Below are 22,142 nucleotides of genomic sequence, written 5' to 3'. Positions count from 1 at the left end.
AGCTTAAGAGTTACAAGTATCTGCTTAAAATGCCTTGTGACACTAGTCATCTCTGCAGGAGCAGTTTGTCTCTAGTAAACTGCATCTTGCCATAAAAAGTGATCTCTCACAGTTCTCACATATTTTTATGATGTTTAGTGTAATACTGTAAACCTTAAATAACACCATGGGACCCATATAAAGTGTCACTAGTGATGCTGGAAGTGCTCCCAAGAAGCAGAGAGAACACATGATATTACAAGAAAAAGCTGAATTGCTTGATATGTGCCAGAGATTAAGATCTGGCATAAGCTACCATTGCAGTTGCCCACCATTTCAAAATAAATGAATCCAGAGTAAGGACCATTGAAAAAAAAGAAAGAAACGAAAAAAAGAAGGAGAGGAGAGGGAGAGGAAAGGAGGAGGGAAAAGGAGAGAGGGAGGGGGAGGAGGAGAGGGAGAGGGAGGGGTATGGGGAAGGGGAGAGGGAGGAGAGAGAAGAGGAGAGGAGAGGAGAGGAGAGGAGAGGAGAGGGAAATTTATGAGGCCATCATTGCATCACTGCGGCTACACCATCAGGTGCAAAGACTTTGCACTTCTTGTGAAATGCCTTTTTATCTTTTATTGAAAATGCAGCCTTCATGTGGGTGCAAAATTGATGTAATAAAGACATTCCTGGCTGGGCGTGGTGGCTCACGCCTGTAATCCCAGCACTTCGGGAGGCCGAAGCGGGCAGATCACTTGAGGTCAGGAGTTCCAGACCAGCCTGGCCAACATGGTGAAACCCCGTCTCTACTAAAAATACAAAATTAGCCAGGTGTGGTGGTGGGCACCTGTAATCCCAGCTACTGGGGAGGCTGAGGCAGGAGAATTACTTGAACCCAGGAGGCGGAGGTTGTAGCGAGCCGAGATTGCACCACTGCACCCCAGCCTGGGCGACAGAGCAAGACTCAGTCTCAAAAAAAAAAGAAAGAAAGAAAAAAAAAAAGAAAGACATTCCTATAGACTCTAATATGATTCCAGAAAAAGCAAAGTCATTATATGACAACTTAAAGCAAAAGGAAGATGATGGACCTATAAAGCTGAAGAATTGAACGCCAGCAAAGGATGGTTTGAATTTTAGAAAAAGGTTTGGCTTTTAAAATGTCAAGAGAACAGGAAAAGCACCTTCTCCCAACCAAAAGGCAGCAGACAAGTTTCCAGGCGCCATTGAGAAAATCAATAAAGAGAAAGAATATCTGTCTGAGCAGGTTTTTAATGCAGACAAAAGTGCTGTATTCTTGGGGAAAAAAATGCCACAAAGGATATTTATTAGTAAGGAACAGAAGCAAGCACCAGGATTTAAGGCAGGAAGGGATAGGGAAACTCAACTATTTTGTGCAAACTCAGTTGGGTTTATGATCAGGACTGACCTTATTTGTAAAGCTGTTAACCCTCAAGCCTTGAGGGGAAAAGATAGATATCAGCTGCCAGTCTTTTGGCTGTACAACAAGAAGGCCTTTTTCTGTATTGGTTCAAGAACACTTTTTCTGTATTGGTTCCATCAATGCTTTGTTCCTGAAGTCAGGATGTACCTTGCCACTAAGGGACTGCCTTTTAAAGTTCTTCTGATGTTGGACAATGTCCCAGGCCATCCAGAATCCCATGAGTTCAAGACCGAAGGGGTCAAGTGGTCTACTTACCCCTAAACACAACGTCTCTAATTCAACCTCTAGATCAGGGGGTCACAAAGATCTTTAAGAACTTTACTGCGTGCTAGCTGGGTGCGGTGGCTTATGCCTGTAATCCCAGAACTTTGGAAGCTGAGGCAGACGGATCACGAGGTCAGGAGATTGAGACCATCCTGGCTAACATGGTGAAACCCCATCTCTACTAAAAATACAAAAAAAATTAGTCAGGCATGGTGGTGGGCGCCTGTAGTCCCAGCTACTCGGGAGGCTGAGGCAGGAGAATGGTGTGAACTTGGGAGGCAGAGCTTGCAGTGAGCCAAGATCGAGCCACTGCACTCCAGGCTGGGCGACAGACCAAGACTCTATCTCAAAAAAAAAAAAAAAAAAGAACTTCACTGCACGCCCTTCTCTATGGAAAGGATTGTCAACACTACAGAAGAGAACCCTGATAGAACATCATGAACGTCTAGAAGGACTACACCATTGAAGATGCCATCATTATTATAGAAAAAGCCATTAAGCCAGGAGTGGTGGCACATGCACCTGTAGCCCCACTTACTCAGGAGGCTGAGGCAGGAGGATCGCTTGAGCCCAAGAGTTATAGGCTGTACTGTGTGCTATGACCCTGCCTGTGAATAGCCATTACGTTCCAGCCCTGGCAACATGGCAAGATCCCATCTCTAAGAAAAAAAAAAAAAAAAGCCATGAAATAATAAATCCCTGCTAGAAAAAAACTGTCCAGATGTTGTCCGGGATTTCATAGGATTTACAATAGAGTAAATCAAGGAAATCATAAAAGAGATTATGAATATGCCAAAAAAAGTTGGGAGTGAAGTGTTTCAAGATATGGAAGTTGGAGAAATTCAAGTGCTAACACCATACCACAGTAATTAACAGAAGATGACTTCATGAAGGTAAGTGCTTCTGAACCAGTGCCAGACAATGAGAAGACATAGAAGAAGCAATGCCAGAAAATAAACTAACATTAGACAATCTGGCAGAAGGGCTCCGATTACACAAGACTGTTTTTGACTTCTTTCACAACATCTACCCTCTGTGATACGGGGACTAAAACTAAAGCAAACGGTGGAAGAAGGATTGGTACCATATAGTAACATTTTTAGGGAAATGAAAAAGCAAAAGTCAGACAGAAATTATGATTGATTTCTATAAAGTTACACCAAGTGCACCTGCCTCTCCTTTCATCTCCTCCACCTCTTCCATCTCTGCTACCCTTGAGACAGCAAAACCAACACCTCCTATGCTTCCTCCTCCTCCTCAACCTATTTAATGTGATGATGACGAGGATAAAGACCTTTATGATGATCCACTTCCACTTAATACATTGTAAATATATATTCTCTTCCTTATGATTTTCCTAATAACATTTTCTTTTCTCTAGCTTACTTTATTGTAAGAATACAGTATATAATCTATATAACATACAAAATATATGTCAATCAACTGTTCATGTTATTGGTAAGGCTTTCAGTCAACGATAGACTATCAATAGTTAAGTTTTGGGGGAGTCAAAAGTTGTAAGTAGATTTTTGACTGTGTAGGGAGCCAGCGCCCCTAACTCCTTGTGTTGTTCAAGAGTCAGCTATATTTATCATAGTTTCCTATGAGTCAATTTTTTAGACAATGTGATCCATGCCATCCTCACTATCTGGAACATACTTCCTACCTTTTATTTTAAATTGTGGTAAATATGTATAACATAATAAAATTGGCCATCTTAACCATTTTTAAGTCTACAGTTCAGTCTTGTTAAGTATATATACATTGTTGTTGCCCTTCCTACTTTTATTTATCTTGCAATACCTTATTCATCATTCTTTTCAGCAAGATTTCCCAGAACTTCCTAGTTGGGCTAAAAGTGCTTCTCCTCCATAATACATTAGCATAAAGATTTAAAAATCATCTATTGTTAGTCTCTCTTCTTATACTGTAAATTCCTTGAGGGCAGGGCCTATGTCTTAATTTCATCTTTGTGATTCAGTGTCTGACATATAGTAGGTTCTTAACATTTATTAAATTGTCACAGGTGCCAGAAAAAAAATTGAGTAAGAGATTTATTATCTGTGAAACTGTATTACTTATTATTCAGAAAAGATGTATTGAGGGTTCTAATATTTGTTAGACACTCTTAAAAGCACTGGGATACAGCAAAAAAACCCAACAACTATATTATCTGTTCTATCTGTATAGAAGGCAGGGAGGGTGGAAAGGGGCAAAGAGGAGAAATATGAGAAGAAAAAGAAAAGCAATAAGGTAAGAATGGTAAAAGATAAGAGGAAGACTTATAGAGGAGGAAGGGAGCGAGAAAGAATGGAGAAAAGGGGACAAGTGGCAAACAAAGTATGAAAGAAAGGCAAGTGAGAAGGAGACTAACTTGCAAAGTGGCCAACAAGAGTTCTAGACCAGCCTGGACAATACAGCAAGACCCCTGTCTCTACAAAAAAATTAGCTGAGTGTGGTGGTGAATGCCTGTAATCCCAGCTACTTGGGAGAATCAGGAGGATCACTTGAGCCCAAGAGTTCAAGGCTGCAGTGAGCTATGATTGTGCCACTGCACTCCAGCCTGGGTGACAGAGCAAGACCCCATCTCAAAAAAAAAAAAAAAAAAAAAAAAAAAGAAGTGGTCAAGAAGAGCAAAGACACACAATGGGGAAAAACCTAGGCTCTTCAACTAAAATCAAGCTGTCTGCATCCTGAAAACAAAGCCAAAAAGTCTGGACATAAAGTGCTATTTTTGACTGGTAGATTAATTACCATATTTTTGAGCTCAAGCCAATAAAATGAGAAGGCTGAAAGTTTAAAAAGCAGCATTCTAAGTTACAGAATACATATACCTCAACATTGTTTTTAGATGTTTTAAAATTGTTTTTAACCCCAGAAAAATATAAATAAAATAAAGTAAACCAAAAAACTGGTTCTCTAGCATCTGCGAGGTATATATGTGTATACACACATATATATACACATACATACACACACACATACACACACACACACACACACACACACACACACATATATTTCTTTTTTTTAGGCAGAGTCTAGCTCTGTCTCCCAGGCTGGAGTACAGTGGTGCCATCTTTGCTCACTACAACCTCCACCTCCTGGGTTCAAGTGATTCTCATGCCTCAGCCTCCTAAGTAGCTGGGATTACAGGCATGCACCACCACACCTGGCTGATTGTTTGTATTTTTAGTAGAGACAGGGTTTCACCATGTTGGCCAGGGTGGTCTCGAACTCCTGACCTCAGGTGATCCGCCTGCCTCGGCCTCCCAAAGTGCTGGGATTACAGGCATGAGCCACTCGTGCCCAGCCCAAAAATAATTTCTTAAGCAAAATGAAACTGAAGAAACTCTGAGAAAATATAAGTAAATATGTATCTGGTGGAGAGAAAACCTTCCTAACTATAAAAGCCAATGAAAAGTTCTTAAAGAATAAAATTAAGAGGATAGCATAAAAATTTAAAAAAATAAAAAACACCACACACAACATTTAAAAGGTAAACAACAAGCTAGAGGAAAATTTACAATATACAGTACAGAACTCTTACAAAACAATGAGAAACACATTAATAGAAAAAATGCAAAAATTAGCTGGGCGCGGTGGCACGTGCCTGTAATCCCAGCTTCTCGGGAGGCTGAGGCGGGAGAATCACTTGAACTGGAGAGGCAGAGATTGCAGTGAGCCAAGATTGTGCTACTGCGCTCTAGCCCGGGCGATAGAGCGAGACTCCGTCTCAGAAAAAAAAAAAGAAAAATCAATAAAGGGATTTCTTCTGGCCTGACGGAGTCAGGAACTAGATTTACTCTCTTACCTAAATTCTAGAAAACTGGGTAAGATATATGGAGTGATGGTGGTCAGACACTAGACAACAGGTGGCACAGGACAGTGATTCTTGAAAGAAGGGTGAACAAATGAGGTAAGCCCTACATTTGCTCCAACTCACTGCAGTTTCCAGGCTGCAGCACAGGAAAAGTACCCAGACAGAACCCTGTGGTCTTGCTGAATTCAGCAGACAAAGTTTGGACGTTAGGGAGGCCAAGACTGTGAGGATTCGGGGGAAAAAAATATCAGAAAGGAGGAAGCCGTACAGAAAGAGAGCTCTAAAGATAACCTAAACAGCCTTGTATCTATTTGAAAAATTGAATTCACAGTTAAAATCTTTCCTACAAAGAAAACTCCAGGCCTATACAGTGTCAACAATGAATTGAAAACATTTAAGAAAGAAATAATACCAATCATATACCAACTTTTTTAGAAAACAGAAGAGGAGACAATACTTCCCAACTCCTCTTATGAGGCCAGCATTACCCTGCTACCAAAACCAGACAGTGATATTACAGGAAAATAAAACTATTGACCAATATCTCTCATGATCATAGACACAAAAATCCTTCGCAAAATTTTAGCAAATCAAATCCAGGAATATATTTGTAAAAGATATATCATGACCAAGTAGAGTTTATCCTGGAATGTAAGGTTGGTATAATATTTGAAAACAATCTACATAATTTACCTTATTAACAGACTACAAAGAAAATCATCTGTTCATCTCAATAAATGCAGAAAAAGCATTTCACAAAATTCAAAACCCATTCATGATAAAAATTCTCATCAAACAAGGAACAGAAGAAAACTTCAACTTGATAAAGGGCATCTACACAAAATTTAAAGCTAACGTTATATTTCACAGTGAAAGTCAGAACGATTTCCCTGTAAGACTGGGAAATAGGCGAGGATCTGCTCTTACCACTTCTGCTGAACTGGAGGTTCTAGCCAGTTCAATAAAGCAAGTAAAAAATAAATAAATAAATAAATAAATAAATAAATAAATAAATAAATAAATAAATGGCAGACTGGAAAAGAAGCACATCTCTTATTTTTCACAGATGGCATGATCCTGCAGGTAGAAAATCCAATGAATCTACAAAAACATTCCTAGAACTAATCCATGAATTTAACAAAATTGCAGGATATGAAGTCAATATGAAAAAGCAATTAGATAAATACAAACTTGTATAATTAAAAATTGAAATTAAAATTAGGTATCTAAAGTAGTCAAACTTATAGGAACAGCAATAGAATGGTGGTTGCTAGGGGACAGGGGAGTGGGGAAAATGGGGAGTTGTTGTTTAATGAGTATAGCATTTGTTTTGCAGGATGAAAAAGTTCTGAAGAGTGGTTGCACAACCATGTGAATATGCTTAACACTACTGAACTGTACACTCAAAACTGGTTAAGATAATAAATTTTATGTAATATGTATTTCACTATAATAAAAAAACAAAATTTCATAACTGAGATGACAGGATGAGCAAAAAATTGAAATTATAAAAATATTAACATTTATAATAGCATGAGCTACATATAATGCTTAGGAATAAGTTTAGCAAAAATATGCAAGAACTACATACTGAAAACTATAAGACATTGCTGTAAAAAAAATTGAAGACTTAAATGAATGAAGAAATATACAATGTTCATGGATCCGAAACCTCAATATTAAGATGTCAGTTCTTCCAAAATTGATCCATAAATTCAACACAATCCCAATTCAAACACAAGCAAGTTATTTTGTAATAAGCAAAAGACCTAGAATAGCCAAAACAACTTTTAAAAAGAACAAAGGTGGAAGACTTGTACTACCTCCAGTCTCTTTTTTTTTTCCAGCCTCTTATTACAGTAAGATTTCAAGAGTTACTGTAAAACTATTGTAATCAAGACAAGAAGGTAATGGAGTAAAGATGGACATTTAAAATAATGAAACAGGCTACTGTGGGCAGGCTGCCTAGGGGGTAGCCTTGCTCCTCAAGGAGTACAAAATAAATAAATAAATATAAAAAATAAAATAATGAAACAGAATTGAAAGAGTCAGAAATAGACCCACACATAAGATCAACTGATTCTTTTTTTTTGAGACAGTCTTGCTCTGTCATCCAGACTGGAGTTCAGTGACACCATCTCAGCTAACTGCAACCTCTGCCTCCTAGGTTCAAGCAATTCTTGTGCCTCAGCCTCCTGAGTAGCTGGGACTATAGGCACACGCAACCATGCTTAGCTAATTTTTGGTATTTAGTAGAGATGGGGTTTTGCCACGTTGGCCAGTCTGGTCTTGAACTCCCGACCTCAAGTGATCCACCCGCCTCAGCCTCCCAAAGTGCTGGATTATAGGCGTGAGCCACTGTGCTCAGCCCAGTTGATTTTTTAAAAAAGATTTTTTAGAGATGAGGTCTTGCTGTGTTGTCCAGCCTAGAGTTAAGCAGCTATTCACAGGCTTGGTAATAGTGCATGATAGCCTAAAACTCCTGGGCTCAAGTGATCCCCTTGTCTCAGCCTCCAGAGAAACTGGGACTGTAGGCATGCGCCACCACACCCAGCTTTGGTCAACTGATTTTTGACAATGGTACCAAGAAATTTAAAGATAATATTTTATTAAATGGTGCTTGAACACTTTTTGTTCAAACACCAATACAAAAATTAAAACTGATTATAGACCTAGATATAAGAATTAAAACTATAAACTTCCTAGGAGAAAAATTAGATGTCCTGGATTAAACAAAGATTTCTTAGATAAAACACAAAAGCCCAAACAATAAAAAAAAGATTTCATCAAAAGTTAAAACTTTCACTCTTCCAAAGATACTGTTAAAAAAAAATGAAAAGAGGCCGGGCGTGGTGGCTCACACCTGTAATCCCCGCACTTTGGGAGGCCGAGATGGGCAGATCACATGAGGTTGGGAGTTCGAGACCAGCCTGACCAACATGGAGAAACCTTGTCTCTACTAAAAATACGACATTAGCTGGGCGTGGTGGCGCATGCCTGTAATCCCAGCTACTCAGAAGGCTGAGGCAGGAGAACTGCTTGAACCTGGGAGTTGGAGGTTGCAATGAGCTGAGACTGTGTCATTGCACTCCAGCCTGGGCAACAAGAGCAAAGCTCTGTCTCAACAACAAAAAAAAAAAGATGGCTGGGCATGGTGGCTCATGCTGTAATCCCAGTACTTTGAGGGGCCAAAGCAGCCCAGGAGTTCAAGACTAGCCTGGACAACATAGTGAAGCCCTGTCTCTACAAACAATTAAAAAAAAAAAAATAGCCAGGTGTGGTGGTACACACCTGTGGTCCCAGCTACTCTGAAGGCTGAAGTGGGAGCATCGCTTGAGTCTGGGAGGTCAAGGCTGCAGCGAGCTGTGATGGTGCCACTGCACTCCAGCCTGGGCAAAAAAGCAACGTATCTGATAAAGAACAATTATTTGGCAACTCAATAAGAACACAAGGCAATTTTTTTTTAACGGGCAAAGGATGTAAAGACACCTCACAATAGAAGTTACATGAAAAGACACTCAATATCATTAGTCACTAGAGATACGCAAATTAAAACCACAATGAGATACCTGGTAGGATGGCTAAAACTAACAAAACGGACAATACTATGTGCTGACCAGGATGTAAAGCAGGTGGAAATTTTATATATTGCTGTCAGGATTGCACAATGGTACAGCCACTTTGGAAAACATTTTGGCAGTCAAAACATAGTATATTTAGGGCTCAGTATTATCTAGGTTTTAGGCATCCACTGCGGGTCTTATCAAAGGTAAGTGGGTAAACAAACTGTGGGATATTCATACAATTTCATACTACTTAGCAACTCAGAGGAGCAAACTATGGACACATGCAACAACACAGATGAATCTCAAAAGCATTATATAAGTGAAAGAAGACACACAGGAATGACAACATACTGTATGATTACATTTATATGCAAGTCTAGAAAAGGCAAAACTATGCTGACAGTTCAGTGGTTGCCAAAGGCCAGGCAGTGGGGTCTACACTGACCACAAATGGGCAAGAGAAAACTTTTAGTGGTGATGGAAATGTTCTGTATCATATACGTTTGTCAAAACTCAGTGAAATGTACACTATAAAGTTGGTAATTTATATGGAATGTAAATTTTATCTCAATAAAGCTGATTAAAAGAAATCTGTAAATATTTAAGAAGAAATTTAAGTGACAGATTCATGAAAAATAACTCAACTTTTCTAGCAATCAAAAAATATACTACAATAGTCCTCCCCTTATCTGTAATTTTGCTTTCTGTGGTTTCAGTTACCCACAGTCAACTGCCATCCAAAAATAGGTGAGTACAATACAGTAAGATATTTTGAGAGAAAGAGAGCTCATATTCACATAACTCTTACAACAGTATGCTGTTATAATTGTTCTGTTTTTTATTGTTAATCTCTTAGTGTGCCTAATTTATAAGTTAAACTTTATCATAGATATGCATATAGAGGAAAAAGCATGGTATATTTAGGCTTCAGTACTATTTGCAGTTTTAGGCATCTACTGGGGGTCTTGGAAAGTATGCCCCAAAGATAAGAAGGGACTATGGTACTACCATTTTTTCAACTATTTAATTGACTAAAAATGATTACAGTATCCAGCAAAGAGTACCTAAAAATGGGCATTTTGTTTGTTTGTTTTTGTTTTTTTTAATAAAGAAACCAGGTCTCTCTGTATTGTCTAGGCTGGCCTTGAACTCTTGGGTTCAAGCAATCCTCCCTGAGTAACTGGGACTATAGGCACACACCACTGCACCTGGCTTGGGCATTCTTATACACTGTTGGGGGTGGTGTATGAAGGTACAACTTTTCTGAGAACATATGTTTGAAAAGGCTTAAAAATATTCAAATCCTTTGATCAAACAATTTAAATTCTTTTTCTCTTTCTCTTGCTTTTTGTTTTTAGACAGGGTCTCACTCTGTCACCCAGGCCGGAGTGCAATGACACCATCACAGCTCACGGCAGCCTCGGTCTCTCAGGATAAAGCGATCCTCCTGTCTCAGCCTCCTGAATGGCTGGGATTACAGACACATGCCACCACGTCCAGCTAATTTTTATATTTTTGTAGAGACAGCTCTACCTATGTTGCCCAGGCTGGTCTCAAACTCCTGGCCTGAAGTGATCCTTCTGCCTCAGCCTCCCAAAGTGCTGGGATTACAGGTGGTGTGAGCAACCACATCTGACCAAGCAATTTGAATTATAATAATTTATCCTGAGGAAATAATCAGGGAGGTGCAAAAAAATTACAAATAGGCCAGGCATGGTGGCTCACACCTGTAATCCCAGCACTTTGGGAGGCCGAGGTGGGTGGATCACCTGAGGTCAGGAGTTCGAGAAGTCTGGCCAATATGGTGAAACCCCATCTCTACTAAAAATACAAAAATTAGCCAGGCATGGTGGCATGCACCTGTAATCCCAGCTGCTCGGGAGGCTGAGGCAGGAGAATCACTTGAACCTGGGAGGCAGAGGTTGCAGTGAGCCAAGATCGTGCCACTGCACTCCAGCCTGGGCAACAAAGCAAGACTCCATCTCAAAAAAAAAAGAAAAAAAATTACAAATAAACATGTTTATACAGCACTATTTATTGAAGATGATTAAATTATAGGTTTTTTAATAGGACAGAATATTATTTAATCAATTTAAATATACACATGTACGGACGCACACACACGCGAATTCGCAATGTTCCCCTGGGTGTAAAAAGCAACCAATCCTGCCTAATTGACACTAAAAGCCCTTTACGGACAAACAAGAAGCCTAGGATTTCCGATAAGTGAAGTAAACATATATAGAATGTCTCAACAATATCTATGGAAAATTGGTATTACTATATACCTTTATATCACCATCAATTTTTTCCCATTCTTCAGCTGTAAAACTGGCTGCTGTTGCTGCTGGTTTATCTTTCCTCAAAGCTCTGCTTTCAGGGGCCAAGGCTTGAAGATGCTTTTCACAAAATTCTGTAAGTTCAGGATAATATCCTTCCTCACCAGATCTTAAAAAGAAATAAATAAGTTTTAGAGTTAGCACCTTATTTAGGATCATCTAGACCAGCGGTTTGCAGGCTGGGTTCCATGGAACCCTGAGGTTCTGTGGAGATCTCAAGGGCTGCTTCCCAGTCTCTTTCCTTAACCCGCATAGTCTCCATTTTTACCCGTTAATCTATGGAATGATTAAAAGAAGAAAAAAAGGAACTCCAAAGTAACCAATTTTCATCACACACTTTAAAAACTGGATAAGGGTGAGTGGGGCGGTGTGGTCCCCGGCACCGTGGAGGAAGTGGGGTTGCTCCGCGGAGTTGGCGTGGGTTCTGGGTTCCTCCCGGCGCCACCATGTCAAAGGTTTCCTTTAAGATCACTCTGAGGTCTGACCCGCGGCTGGCGTACAAAGTACTCTGTTCCTGAAAGTACACCTTTCACAGCAGTCTTACAGTTTGCAACAGAAGAATTTCAAGTTCCTGCTGCAAGAAGTGCAATTATTACCAATGATGGAATAGGAAAAAATCCTGCACAGACCTGCTGGAAATGTTTTTCTAAAACATGGTTCAGAACTGCGAATTATTCCTAGAGTCGTGATGGAAGTTGTTAATATCGGCTGCTTGGAACATACAATTACCTTTCAGAATAAATATTGGTATTTTTTGTTGCTGTAAAATTGAAATCAGGCATTTAACACACTATGAAAACACCAAGAGTCAATGAATAATGAGACTCATCTGTCCCTGTTTGTTGTCTGTACTCTTCATGTGAAGAGGGAATTCATATGAATTAAGGGTAATAGTGTCACAGAAGATTGCTACCTCACACACAAACAGGTAGTTCATTTGGGGTGAATGGATTCTCCAACTATTTTATAACTGGGAGCTTCTGATAATTTTTTGGAAAACATTTGAAACATTAAAACTTACTGAATCTTACATATTTGTCTGAGTTAAAAATATAAAAAGAATTATGGATCATGGATGGTAATTTGCTTGATAGCATCTGGTTTGCAGACTCATAGTTTGATTTTTAATTAAATATATAGCTTATGATGAAGTCAATAAACATATCAATGAATAGTTAACTATATTAAATTTTTATCAGGTTGGGCACTGTGGCTCAGGCCTGTATTCCCAGCACTTTGGGAGGCCAAGGCAGGTGGATCACTTGAGGTCAGGTGTTCGAGAACAGCCTGGCCAACATGGCGAAATGGACTCTCTACTAAAAGTACAAAAATTAGCCGGGCGTGGTGGCAGGCACCTGTAATCCCAGCTATGCAGGAGGCTGAGGCAGGAGAATCACTTGAACCTGGGAGGCAGAGGTTGCAGTGAACCGAGATCGCACCACTGCACTCCAGCCTGGGTGACAGAGTGAGACTGCATCTCAAAAAATAAAAATAAAAAAAAATTTTATCATTTACTTTTTCTAAGTTTCAAATCTCATGTATCATATAAATTTCAGTTTAATATCAACCAAAGAAACAAAATTTTAATCTAACAAAAACAATATTTTCTCTTCAACATATATATGTTCATATGTTCATTTTGTACATGATATTAAGCTCATAAATTCAATATTAGAGACTAGCAGAAAGAGAATTTGGACTTCCTTTTCAACAAGGAGTTTCTGTTCATAAATTTTTTTATTTCAAAGAGGTAGGAAGAAAATGGCAGATAAACAGCTTAAACAAAACACCCTGAAATCCAACCACTCAAGGAACAGAATTCCTTCCTTAGAGAGTTAAATGGAGACATCTGTTCCTTTTATTTTAAGGAAAATCAGTCCTTTCCCATTCTTTCTTAGGTCTGTTCACTCTTACATTTCTAGAAAAATATAAATAAATTTCATTTCCAAATTAAATTTTAAAAAACAATTCCAAGTTCAATATATTATCACTGAATTAGGCTATTCATAAAATTTCTTGGAACCAACATTATTATAACTGTAGCTTTCCAACTGTTTCATCCAATAAACTTTTCATTTTTATTTATCCGTCCTTGACCAAGTATACATGATAATATTCTGCTAAAAAAGGGAAAACAATTGATATTATTGATTTTTCACTTTCCATTTTAAAAATGATGATGTTATCACATCAGCATCTGGCTGTGGACCAACAGGGAAGAAAGGAAGCTAAAGGTGATGAAAGAGAAAAAGGGAAGAACCCAGTGATAAGGAATAGGGATAGAGGAAATAAAGAACCACCACAGGGTAATAGGAATTCTAGATGTCCTGGAAAGCAGTTCATGCTCCACAAGTGTCTTCTGCAATAGAACTCTGGTATCCAAATGAAAATAGCTCAAGAGGCCCAAAGAGGCCCCAGCACTTTGGGAGGCCAAAGCAGGAGGATTGCTCAAGTCCAGGAGTTTGACATCAGTCTGGACAACATAGTGAGATCCAGTCTTAAAAAAAAAAAAAAAGAAAGAAAGAAAGAAAAGAAATCCAAAAGAGGTGTCACAGGTTGGTGGTACTCAGGACAGTGTTTCTTCAAGTGGGTTCCTTGAACACCTACATATCAATCAGCCAGCTCCATTGTTAAAAACACATGTTCCCTGGCCCTACCCCAGATTTTTTGAAGCAGAATCGCTGGGAATAGGGCCCTCAAATGTGCATTTTTAACAACCACATTTGATGTATATTCAGTTGGACAGTCACTAGAATGGAGCTCTATCCTGAGAAGGTCCTAATTCCCTGCCTTCTGGTATTACCGTCAGGCCTCCCCACCACCCTCCATGTGATCAGTGTGCGGTGGGTCACCCTCCCTTGTTGTCAGGTGATATGAAGTGGGAAAGTGCCACCAGCCTAGGCTGGTGAGATAAGCTTACCTCCTAATAGCTTTTTTTATTTTTTTTATTATTATTTTTTATTTTTTTATTTTTTGAGACTCTGTCACCCAGGCTGGAGTGCAGTGGCACAACCAGGGATCACTATAGCCTCCAAGGCCCAAGCAATCCTCCCACCTCAGCCTTCTGAGTAGCTGGGACTACAGGCCAAGGTAATTTTCGTATTTTTTGTAGAGATAGGATTTCACCCTGTTGCTCAGGCTGGTCTTGAACTCCTGAGCTCAAATGATCCACCTGCTTCAGCCTCCCAAAGTGCTGGGGTTGCAGGCGTGAGCCATCACAGCCCATCCTAATGGCTGCTTTCACAGCTACTTTACCTTCTCCTAGAAAATGTAGAGAAGGCAAGAAAAATACCCTCCTGGATATTAATTAGCCTGCGTCTCATGCTGGCAGTAGACCTAGGTGGAACTCTCCAAACTAACCATAGGATCAAAACCACTATTTTGGGACCTACCATGCATGGGCAAAAACAGATATTTCTAATGTAGCTTTTACCTTTAGAAGGTAACAACAAGATAATTAAAACTGTCATACTAAAACATGTAATGATTTTAAAATGCTTACCTGAGCACGCAAAGAATTTTTTCCAGATGTTTAACATCTGAACATTTTTCAATGTATTTGAAATCTAGATGTTCAATGGGAATTTTGAATGTTTTTGTTGTTCCAAAGCCCCACAATGATGGATAATCTTTGGTGGTCATAGCTGAAATACAATATTTAAAAGTTATTAATCTAATGTATAAATAATACTCAATTTGGATAGTGGTAACCATGTAGGTACTTCTTTGTATTTTTTTGAATTTTTAAAAATTTTTTGTAGAGACAGAGTCTCCCTATGTTGCCCAGGCTGGTCTCTAACTTCTGGCCTCAAGCAATCCTCCTGCTTCAGCCTCCCAGAGTGCTGGGATTATGGGCATGAGCCATTGTGCCTGTCCCACCTAGGTGTTCCTGGACCAAACTGAGGGTTGGCCTGCTAGTTTTGTGGCCCAATAACGAGATGCAGATGAACCGAGGAGGAAGACGTTATTTACTTCTGCAACTGGCTACAGGGAGAAGGCCTGGAAATTATCACCAGACCAACTCAAAATTACAAAGTTTTCCAGAGCTTATATACCTTCTAAGCCATATGTCCATGTGTAAGCGTGCATTCATCTAAAGACATAAGTGATTAACTTCTTTTAATCTATATCTAAAGTCTGAGTGCTGAAGACCTTCCTCTGGGGTCTCAGTAAATTTACTTAATTTAAATGGGTCCAGGTGCTGGGGCAATTACCCTTATCTTGTCTCCTGCTAAATCACAGAGGTTTGGGGAGTTCCTTCAGACCCTCCATAAACTTGTTTGTGGAGGTCTGGGGAGTTTCTTCAGACCCACAGTAAAACTTGTTTAATCCTAAGTGGGTCATTAAAAATTCCTTTTCTATTTTGTCATGCTTTAAGGCCCAGGAAAGGCCTAGGCAAAACTCTTGGTGGGCTTTTGTTACATCCCAGCCTTTGTATAAGGGCACTGGCTTTTAATATTTAACTTAACCACTCAGTCAGTACCGAAATCATTGTTATGGAGGTCTGTGTTAGTGAGACCTGGCCTGCCACATAGGTACTTCTGTATAAAAGGAGGTGGAGTGTTTTGTTTGTTTTTGTTTTTGAGATGGTGTCACTCTGTCACCCAGGCTGAAATGCAGTGGTGCAATCGTGGGTCACTGCAGCCTGACCTTCTGGACTCGGTGATCCTCCCACCTCAGACTCCTGAGTAGCTGGGACTACAGGCACGTGCCACCACTCCCAGCTAATTTCTCTTAGATTTTTTTGTAGAGATGGGGTTTTGCCATTTTCCCCAGGCTGGTCTCGAACTCCTGGACTCAAGTGATCCTCCCACTTTGGCCTTCCAAAGTGCTGGGATTACAGGTGTGAGCCATCACGCCCAGCCCTTCTAGGTACTTCTGTAGAAAAAGAAGGTAGAGGTTTTTTTCCATGGAGGAAGTCAACTAATTTTGAATTCTCTGTCCCTGATAACAACAATTGACATTTATGGAGTTAAATTACTGTGTGCCATACACAGATTACCTCACTTAATCTTCACTTAAGCAAAGCTGGAATACAATGACAGAGAAGGTTGTGGTGCCCAAATTGCTTTTTAAGATTTTTTAATGTTAATTTTGAATGACCTTCTGCTAGTTTAGCTGTTAACATCCCAATCATTCTTTGTGATTCACCATAAACATAAATAATAACATCCTTTCTGTAACTTGCCTTAACACAATCCTTTTCCCACTCCCTGCCTACTTCTTCTCCCTACTACACAATGAACTGTGTTCTAAGGGCACTCTGTACATACCTCTCCTTTTTTTTTTTTTTTTTGAGTTGGAGTCTTGCTCTGTCACCCAGGCTGGAGTGCAGTGACACAATCTTGGCTTACTGCCACCTCCTCCTCCTGGGTTCAAGCGATTCTCCTGCTTCAGCCTCTTGAGTAGCTGGGATTACAGGTGTGGGCCACCACGCCCAACTAATTTTTGTATTTTTAGTAGAGATGGGGTTTCACCATGTTGGCCAGGCTGGTCTTGAACTACGGACCTCAAGTGATCTGCCTGCCTTGGCCTCCCAAAGTGCTGGGATCACAGGCGTGAGCCACCGTGCCGTGCCCTGTACATACCTCTCTCTTAGCACAAATTTGAATTATGTTTATTTGTCTTCCCTTCTAGTTTGTGAAAGAACTTACTTTATTTATCCTCACAGCTCCAGGACTAACATAATAAGTAGTGCCTATACCCCTTCAGAAACATTCGCTGCATTTAATTGAATTGGGAATAAGGAGGTCTTGGAGAACATCACTTTAAAGATACTGCTGCTAATGCTAATGATAATAATAATAGCAACAAATATATAGTTCTTAATGTGTGCTAGGCACCATTCTAAGTACTTTACATATATTACTTCATTTAATCCCTCAATTACTGTACCGGGTAGGTTTTAAGTGACATTAGTAATAACAGTTAACATTTATGGAGCTAAATTACCATGTGCCATAGCTTATCTCACCTAATCTTCAAAACCTCTCTCATAAAGGATATTAATAATTACTCCTATTTTACAAATGAGCAAGTCGACATGTGAACTAAGGATACGAGTCTCAATAGGCTAACTACAGAGCCCACATACTTAACCACTGTACCAGTGATTTTCAAACTGCAGGTAGCAACCCATAAATAAATTTAGTGAGTTGCAATTAACATTGTTTTATAATGAGATGGAATAGAATAAAAAATAGACTACCTGACATATAACATTAAAGTAAATATTGCTTTATACAAACTTTTACTTCATGTCTATATAAATGGAAATTATGTGTGTATATAAATGCACGAGGTTACAAAGTAAACTATATTTCTTATTGTGGGTCACTGTCAAAGGTTAAAGAAAACCCACTGTACTTGGGCAATGATTTTAAAAACAAGAAGTAGCAATGGGTCTAATTCATAGAAGTATTTCTTTCAGCCCTCTGGGAGTCTGGTCATATATCAGACCTCTGCAGAAAAGGATGACACTGTCCACTTCTCCAAATTCCTGCCGGCTTTGACTTAGGTATATGATATAGATGACAGTTCTTAGGCTTCCGGATGAGATCTAGCTGAGAAATTAGATGTGGCTTTCACACCATACCTTCAGGGCCTATTGATGAATGGCTCCCAGGACAAGGATAACCTCAAGGGTAGAAGTTACAGGAAAGCAAGATGAAGAACTCGTAAATTATTGATGCTGCCCAGAATAGAATGGGTTGCCTTAGAAGGATTTTTCCAAAGAGCAAGGGATCTTTGGTGGGAGAGATCTAAGCATCTAATGGGATTAAAATAGATTACCTTGAATTGAAGGTATTTTGCAACCCCTGAGATTTTATGATTTCAATAAAATGTGATTAAAAACACATGAAATGATAGAGCCATCTCTTACCTAATCAAATGAATTTCATTCTGAACATCATTTTAACATTTCTCTGAGAATCTTTTTTTTTTTTTTTTGACTAATCAAGTGCAGTAGTGAGAAGGGGAGAAAGAGTACAACGAGGAGGTGGATCTATAACTGAACAATCAAGTGAGAGAACTCACTACCTTTGGACCAAGTCTCTCTGAGAATCCTTTTTGAAAAAAAAGGATTCTCTTTTTTTCTTTCTTTCTGTAGGATACACCTTCTCAAGACTACTGAATGTCCATCTCAAGTTCCAAAAAACAAGTTATACAATACTTTAGAACTCTTCCACCTCTGTTTGCAGTCTTTGTTTCTAATTGGGAAAACCTTCGATCCTAGCTGGATTTAATTTCTCCATCATCCTGATCCACATCCACCTCCCATATTTCGTAGCCAGCTTAGTAATACCTCCAGTTCAAACTGCTCGGGCCTACTAACGCGAAAAGCTGGGTCTCTCCCACCGAGGCACCCTCTTTCCTGCATCCACAGGGCCGACCGCCCCCTGCAGTCGGAGACCGAAAAGAAACGGCATCCTCCCGCCGTGGCAACGGTTTCTATGTACAGCGGCGCCAGGACCTGCCGGGACTGGGGAGCCCCACAGCCCAGCCGCAATGGTCTCAGATTGCTCCCCAGCCCCTGGCTTGGGTCACCAGGGCTGACCGCGCCGGTGGACCCGGGAACTCCAGCGTTGCCACCGCGCCCCGACACCCGCCACCGTCCCCCGCGGCCTGGAAAGCCCCGCGTGTTCCCCGGCCTTGAAGGACGTCCACCCCATCGCTCCTTCTCCCTCGCGGCCCACCGCCCCTTCGCCTCCCCGCCTCGACCTCTCGCCCCCGCTCCGGGAGGGAAGGGCTGAGATGCGACAAGTCCTATATTCCCGGCCGGCAGGTACACACAGGCACTCACTGCTTCTCAGCGCCCCGCGTCGGGGAAGTCGCGGCCGCCGCACCGGCTCTGGCTGCACTGCAGGTGCTGAGGGAGGGTCTCGTCGCCCGGCCCGAGCCAGAGGCGACAGGCTGACGGCCGGGGCGGGGACTAGGCCCCTGCCACGCCCCGACCCGCAGTCCGGCAGATCTGCAGATCTGCCGACGGCCACAGGTTCACCTTCCCCGCCTTCACTGGCAGAGGACCAATTGGGCATAAGAGTTGGTGTGAGAGGTCCACTTCCTCTCGTTTGAGTTTCAGTTTGTTGTAGAGTTAAAACGCTGGCATCAGCCGGGCGCGGGAGCTCACGCCTGTAATCCTAGCACTTTGGGAGGCCGAGGCGGGAGGATGGCTTGAGGCCAGGAGTTGGAGACCAGCCTGGGCAACACAGTGAGACCCTGCCTCTACACTATACATATATATATGTGTGTGTGTGTGTGTGTATATATATATATATATATACACACACACACACACACACACATATATATATGTATATATATATTTAAATACTTTAAATTTTTATTGTATTTATGTTTTTTGTTTTTTGTTTTTGGAGACAGAGTCTCGCTCTGTCGCCCAGGCTGGAGTGCGGTGGCGTGATCTTGGCTCATTGCAACCTCTGCCTCCCAGGTTCAAGCGATTCTCTTGCCTCAGGTTCCTGAGTAGCTAGGATTACAGGCGCCCGCCACCACACCCGGCTAATTTTTTTGCATTTTTAGTAGAGATGGGTTTCACCGTGTTTGCCAGGCTGGTCTTGAACTCCTGACCTCAAGTGATCTGCCCGCCTCGGCCTCCCAAAGTGCTGGGATTACAGGCATGAGACACCACACCTGGCCCATAAATAAAATATTTTTTTAAAACGCTGCTACTGTTCTGTTATCCCGGACTGCTGTATTCCCTGCTAAGTAAATTGATTACTCCTATTTAACTATAAAAAATGTAATTAAAATTTCAGAGTGCATTGCAACCAAGATTTACTTACCTCTTCCTCTTTAAAAAAAAAGAGTAAATGAAAGACAAAATTCCCTCTTCCTTTTCATGAATTCCACGTTTTCTGAGTGCTGGTTATGAGTCAGGCACCATACTCAGCACAGGGATGAAAAGGTGAATAAGACAAAATACTAATACAATTCAGATGAATAAAACAATAGAGGTTACTTGTCAGGAAATTTATTTCAGTTTTATAATTTCAAACTAGTTAAAATAGATGATGAAGATCAAAGTTAATTTACAGTGTCTGGCAGTTCTGTAAATGTATTTCTCTTTCCCTTTTGCACTTAAATTACAGACCTGCGGTCTGCTACCAAGCACTGTTAGTGGCAAAAATTCTAATGCTTGGCAGGACACAGTGGCTCATGCCTGTAATCCCAGCACTTTGGGAGGCCAAGGCAGGCAGACTGCTTGAGCCCAGGAGTTCAGACCAGCCTGTGCAATATAGTGAGAGGCTGGCTCTATAAAATAAAAAAAAAATTTTTTTAAATCACTTTAGTCTTCATAGAGATAAAAGAAGATATCATCCAAGAAACAAGGAGATAAAGTGAGGCCTGGTAAGGTCACTTAGCCAGGTAACAAGGGGTGGTGCACGTATTTGGACCCAAAGCCTTACACCAAAGCCCATGTTGTTTACTGAGCACTTAATTACTAACCAATCCATCAGTAAGTCCCACAGCCAGATACTTCTCACCACCTCCACAACTACAGCCCTGGCCCAGCCACCATTACCACTAACTATTACAGACGGTCTGTTGTTTCTTTGTTGCTACCTGTCCTACATAGTCTATTCTCACACAACAGCCTGGTAATTCTTCACATCAGACCAGGTCACTCTCCTGCTTACTGTCCCAATGGCTTTGCATCACAACACCCTAAGTGAGCTGGCCTCTGCCCACCTCTGCAACCTCATCTCCTCCCACTATCCCTCCTGTCATAAAGTTTGAGTCACATGGGCTTGATTCTGAAGTGGGAACAAGATTAAGCTCACTTTCCACCCCATGACTTTTACATGGAGTGTTTTCTGTTTCGGTAATGTTCTTTCTCATCCTTCAGTCCTCTCTGTTCAAATAACCACGCCACCTAAACTTATTACACAAAGCTTATTCTAAGGAAGGGTGAGGACATGTGTGTATTATGTATTATGAGGCAACTTGTCGCCCAGGCTGGAGTGCAGTGGTGCAATCTTAGCTCACTGCAACCTCCACTTCCTGGGTTCAAGCAATTTTCATGCCTCAGCCTCCCGACTAGCTGGGATTACAGGCATGTACCACCACACCCAGGTAATTTCTGTATTTTTAGTAGAGACAGGGTTTCACCATGTTGGCCAAATTGGTCTTGAACTCCTGAGCTCAAGCGATCCTCCCGCCTTGGCCTCCCAAAGTGCCGGGATTACAGGTGTGAACCGCCACTCCTGGCTTCATTTCTGATTTCATTTTTGAATTTTTCATAACTCCAATCTCTTAAGATAGCTATCTTAAAGCACTGTTATCTCTATAATCCCTGTGATTACTTATAATCATAATTCCTCCACTTTGATAAAGAAGCTGAAGTTAAAAGAAATAAAGTGAATTGGCCAGTCATTGAGGGGCAGGGCTGAATTTGAACAAATCTCCATTCAGTGCTTTTCCCATGGACAAGGATGTGCTTTTCAGTGTGTGCAGTCAGTAAGCAGTTTACAGGGTACCAAGTGATGTGCTAACATCAAGCTCAAGCTTACTAATTTTCATATTGACAGAGCACTAGTCAAAAGAATGTTTTAAAAGCAATTTTATATCAGTTTTTTCCTTGAAACTGTCTAGGTAGGTAAGAGGTAAAATTACATCTAGTTTATACATGAAGGGAGCACAAAAAGTGGCTGACTGAAAGCAGTCTGAGTTCCAGCTGTAATACATTTTGCATGAAGTTATTCTGCCCAGTTAACCAGAT

The 22,142-nt window shown here is 40.7% G+C and overlaps 1 protein-coding gene and 1 pseudogene across 11 annotated transcripts in view, besides 2 other annotated features; one reads left to right on the top strand and one right to left on the bottom strand.

Moving 5' to 3' along the window:
* Positions 1-19,283, bottom strand: part of SPAG1 (sperm associated antigen 1) — an 83,867-nt gene extending 64,584 nt beyond the window's left edge. For 7 of the 11 annotated variants that reach the window (NM_172218.3, XM_011517241.3, XM_011517240.3 and 4 more), the window contains exons 1-3: positions 19,203-19,283; positions 14,901-15,042; positions 11,348-11,507 (exon numbers count right to left, since the gene is read on the bottom strand). In NM_172218.3, coding sequence (NP_757367.1) covers positions 11,348-11,507; positions 14,901-15,040 — 300 coding nt within the window. In that variant the 5' untranslated portion in view covers positions 15,041-15,042; positions 19,203-19,283. Of the gene's footprint in view, positions 1-11,347; positions 11,508-14,900; positions 15,043-18,281; positions 18,735-19,120 lie in introns of those variants that run through there. The other 4 variants (XM_047422128.1, NM_001374321.1, XM_011517243.3 and 1 more) reach the window with 4 other exon arrangements.
* On the top strand, positions 11,778-12,991 carry UFM1P3 (UFM1 pseudogene 3; annotated as a pseudogene).
* Positions 18,831-19,270: a silencer, noted in NCBI's record as "silent region_19410". NCBI's record gives its function as "represses an Ori minimal core promoter by ATAC-STARR-seq in GM12878 lymphoblastoid cells {active_cell/tissue: GM12878}" and the evidence as "EXISTENCE:reporter gene assay evidence [ECO:0000049][PMID:35858748]".
* Positions 19,341-19,410: a silencer, noted in NCBI's record as "silent region_19409". NCBI's record gives its function as "represses an Ori minimal core promoter by ATAC-STARR-seq in GM12878 lymphoblastoid cells {active_cell/tissue: GM12878}" and the evidence as "EXISTENCE:reporter gene assay evidence [ECO:0000049][PMID:35858748]".

The sequence above is a fragment of the Homo sapiens genome, chromosome 8, assembly GCF_000001405.40.
Source record: "Homo sapiens chromosome 8, GRCh38.p14 Primary Assembly".
Taxonomy (NCBI): Eukaryota; Metazoa; Chordata; class Mammalia; order Primates; family Hominidae; genus Homo; species Homo sapiens.
The sequence above is the reverse complement of the archived record's forward strand: the minus strand, read 5'-3'. Positions and strand labels throughout refer to the sequence as shown.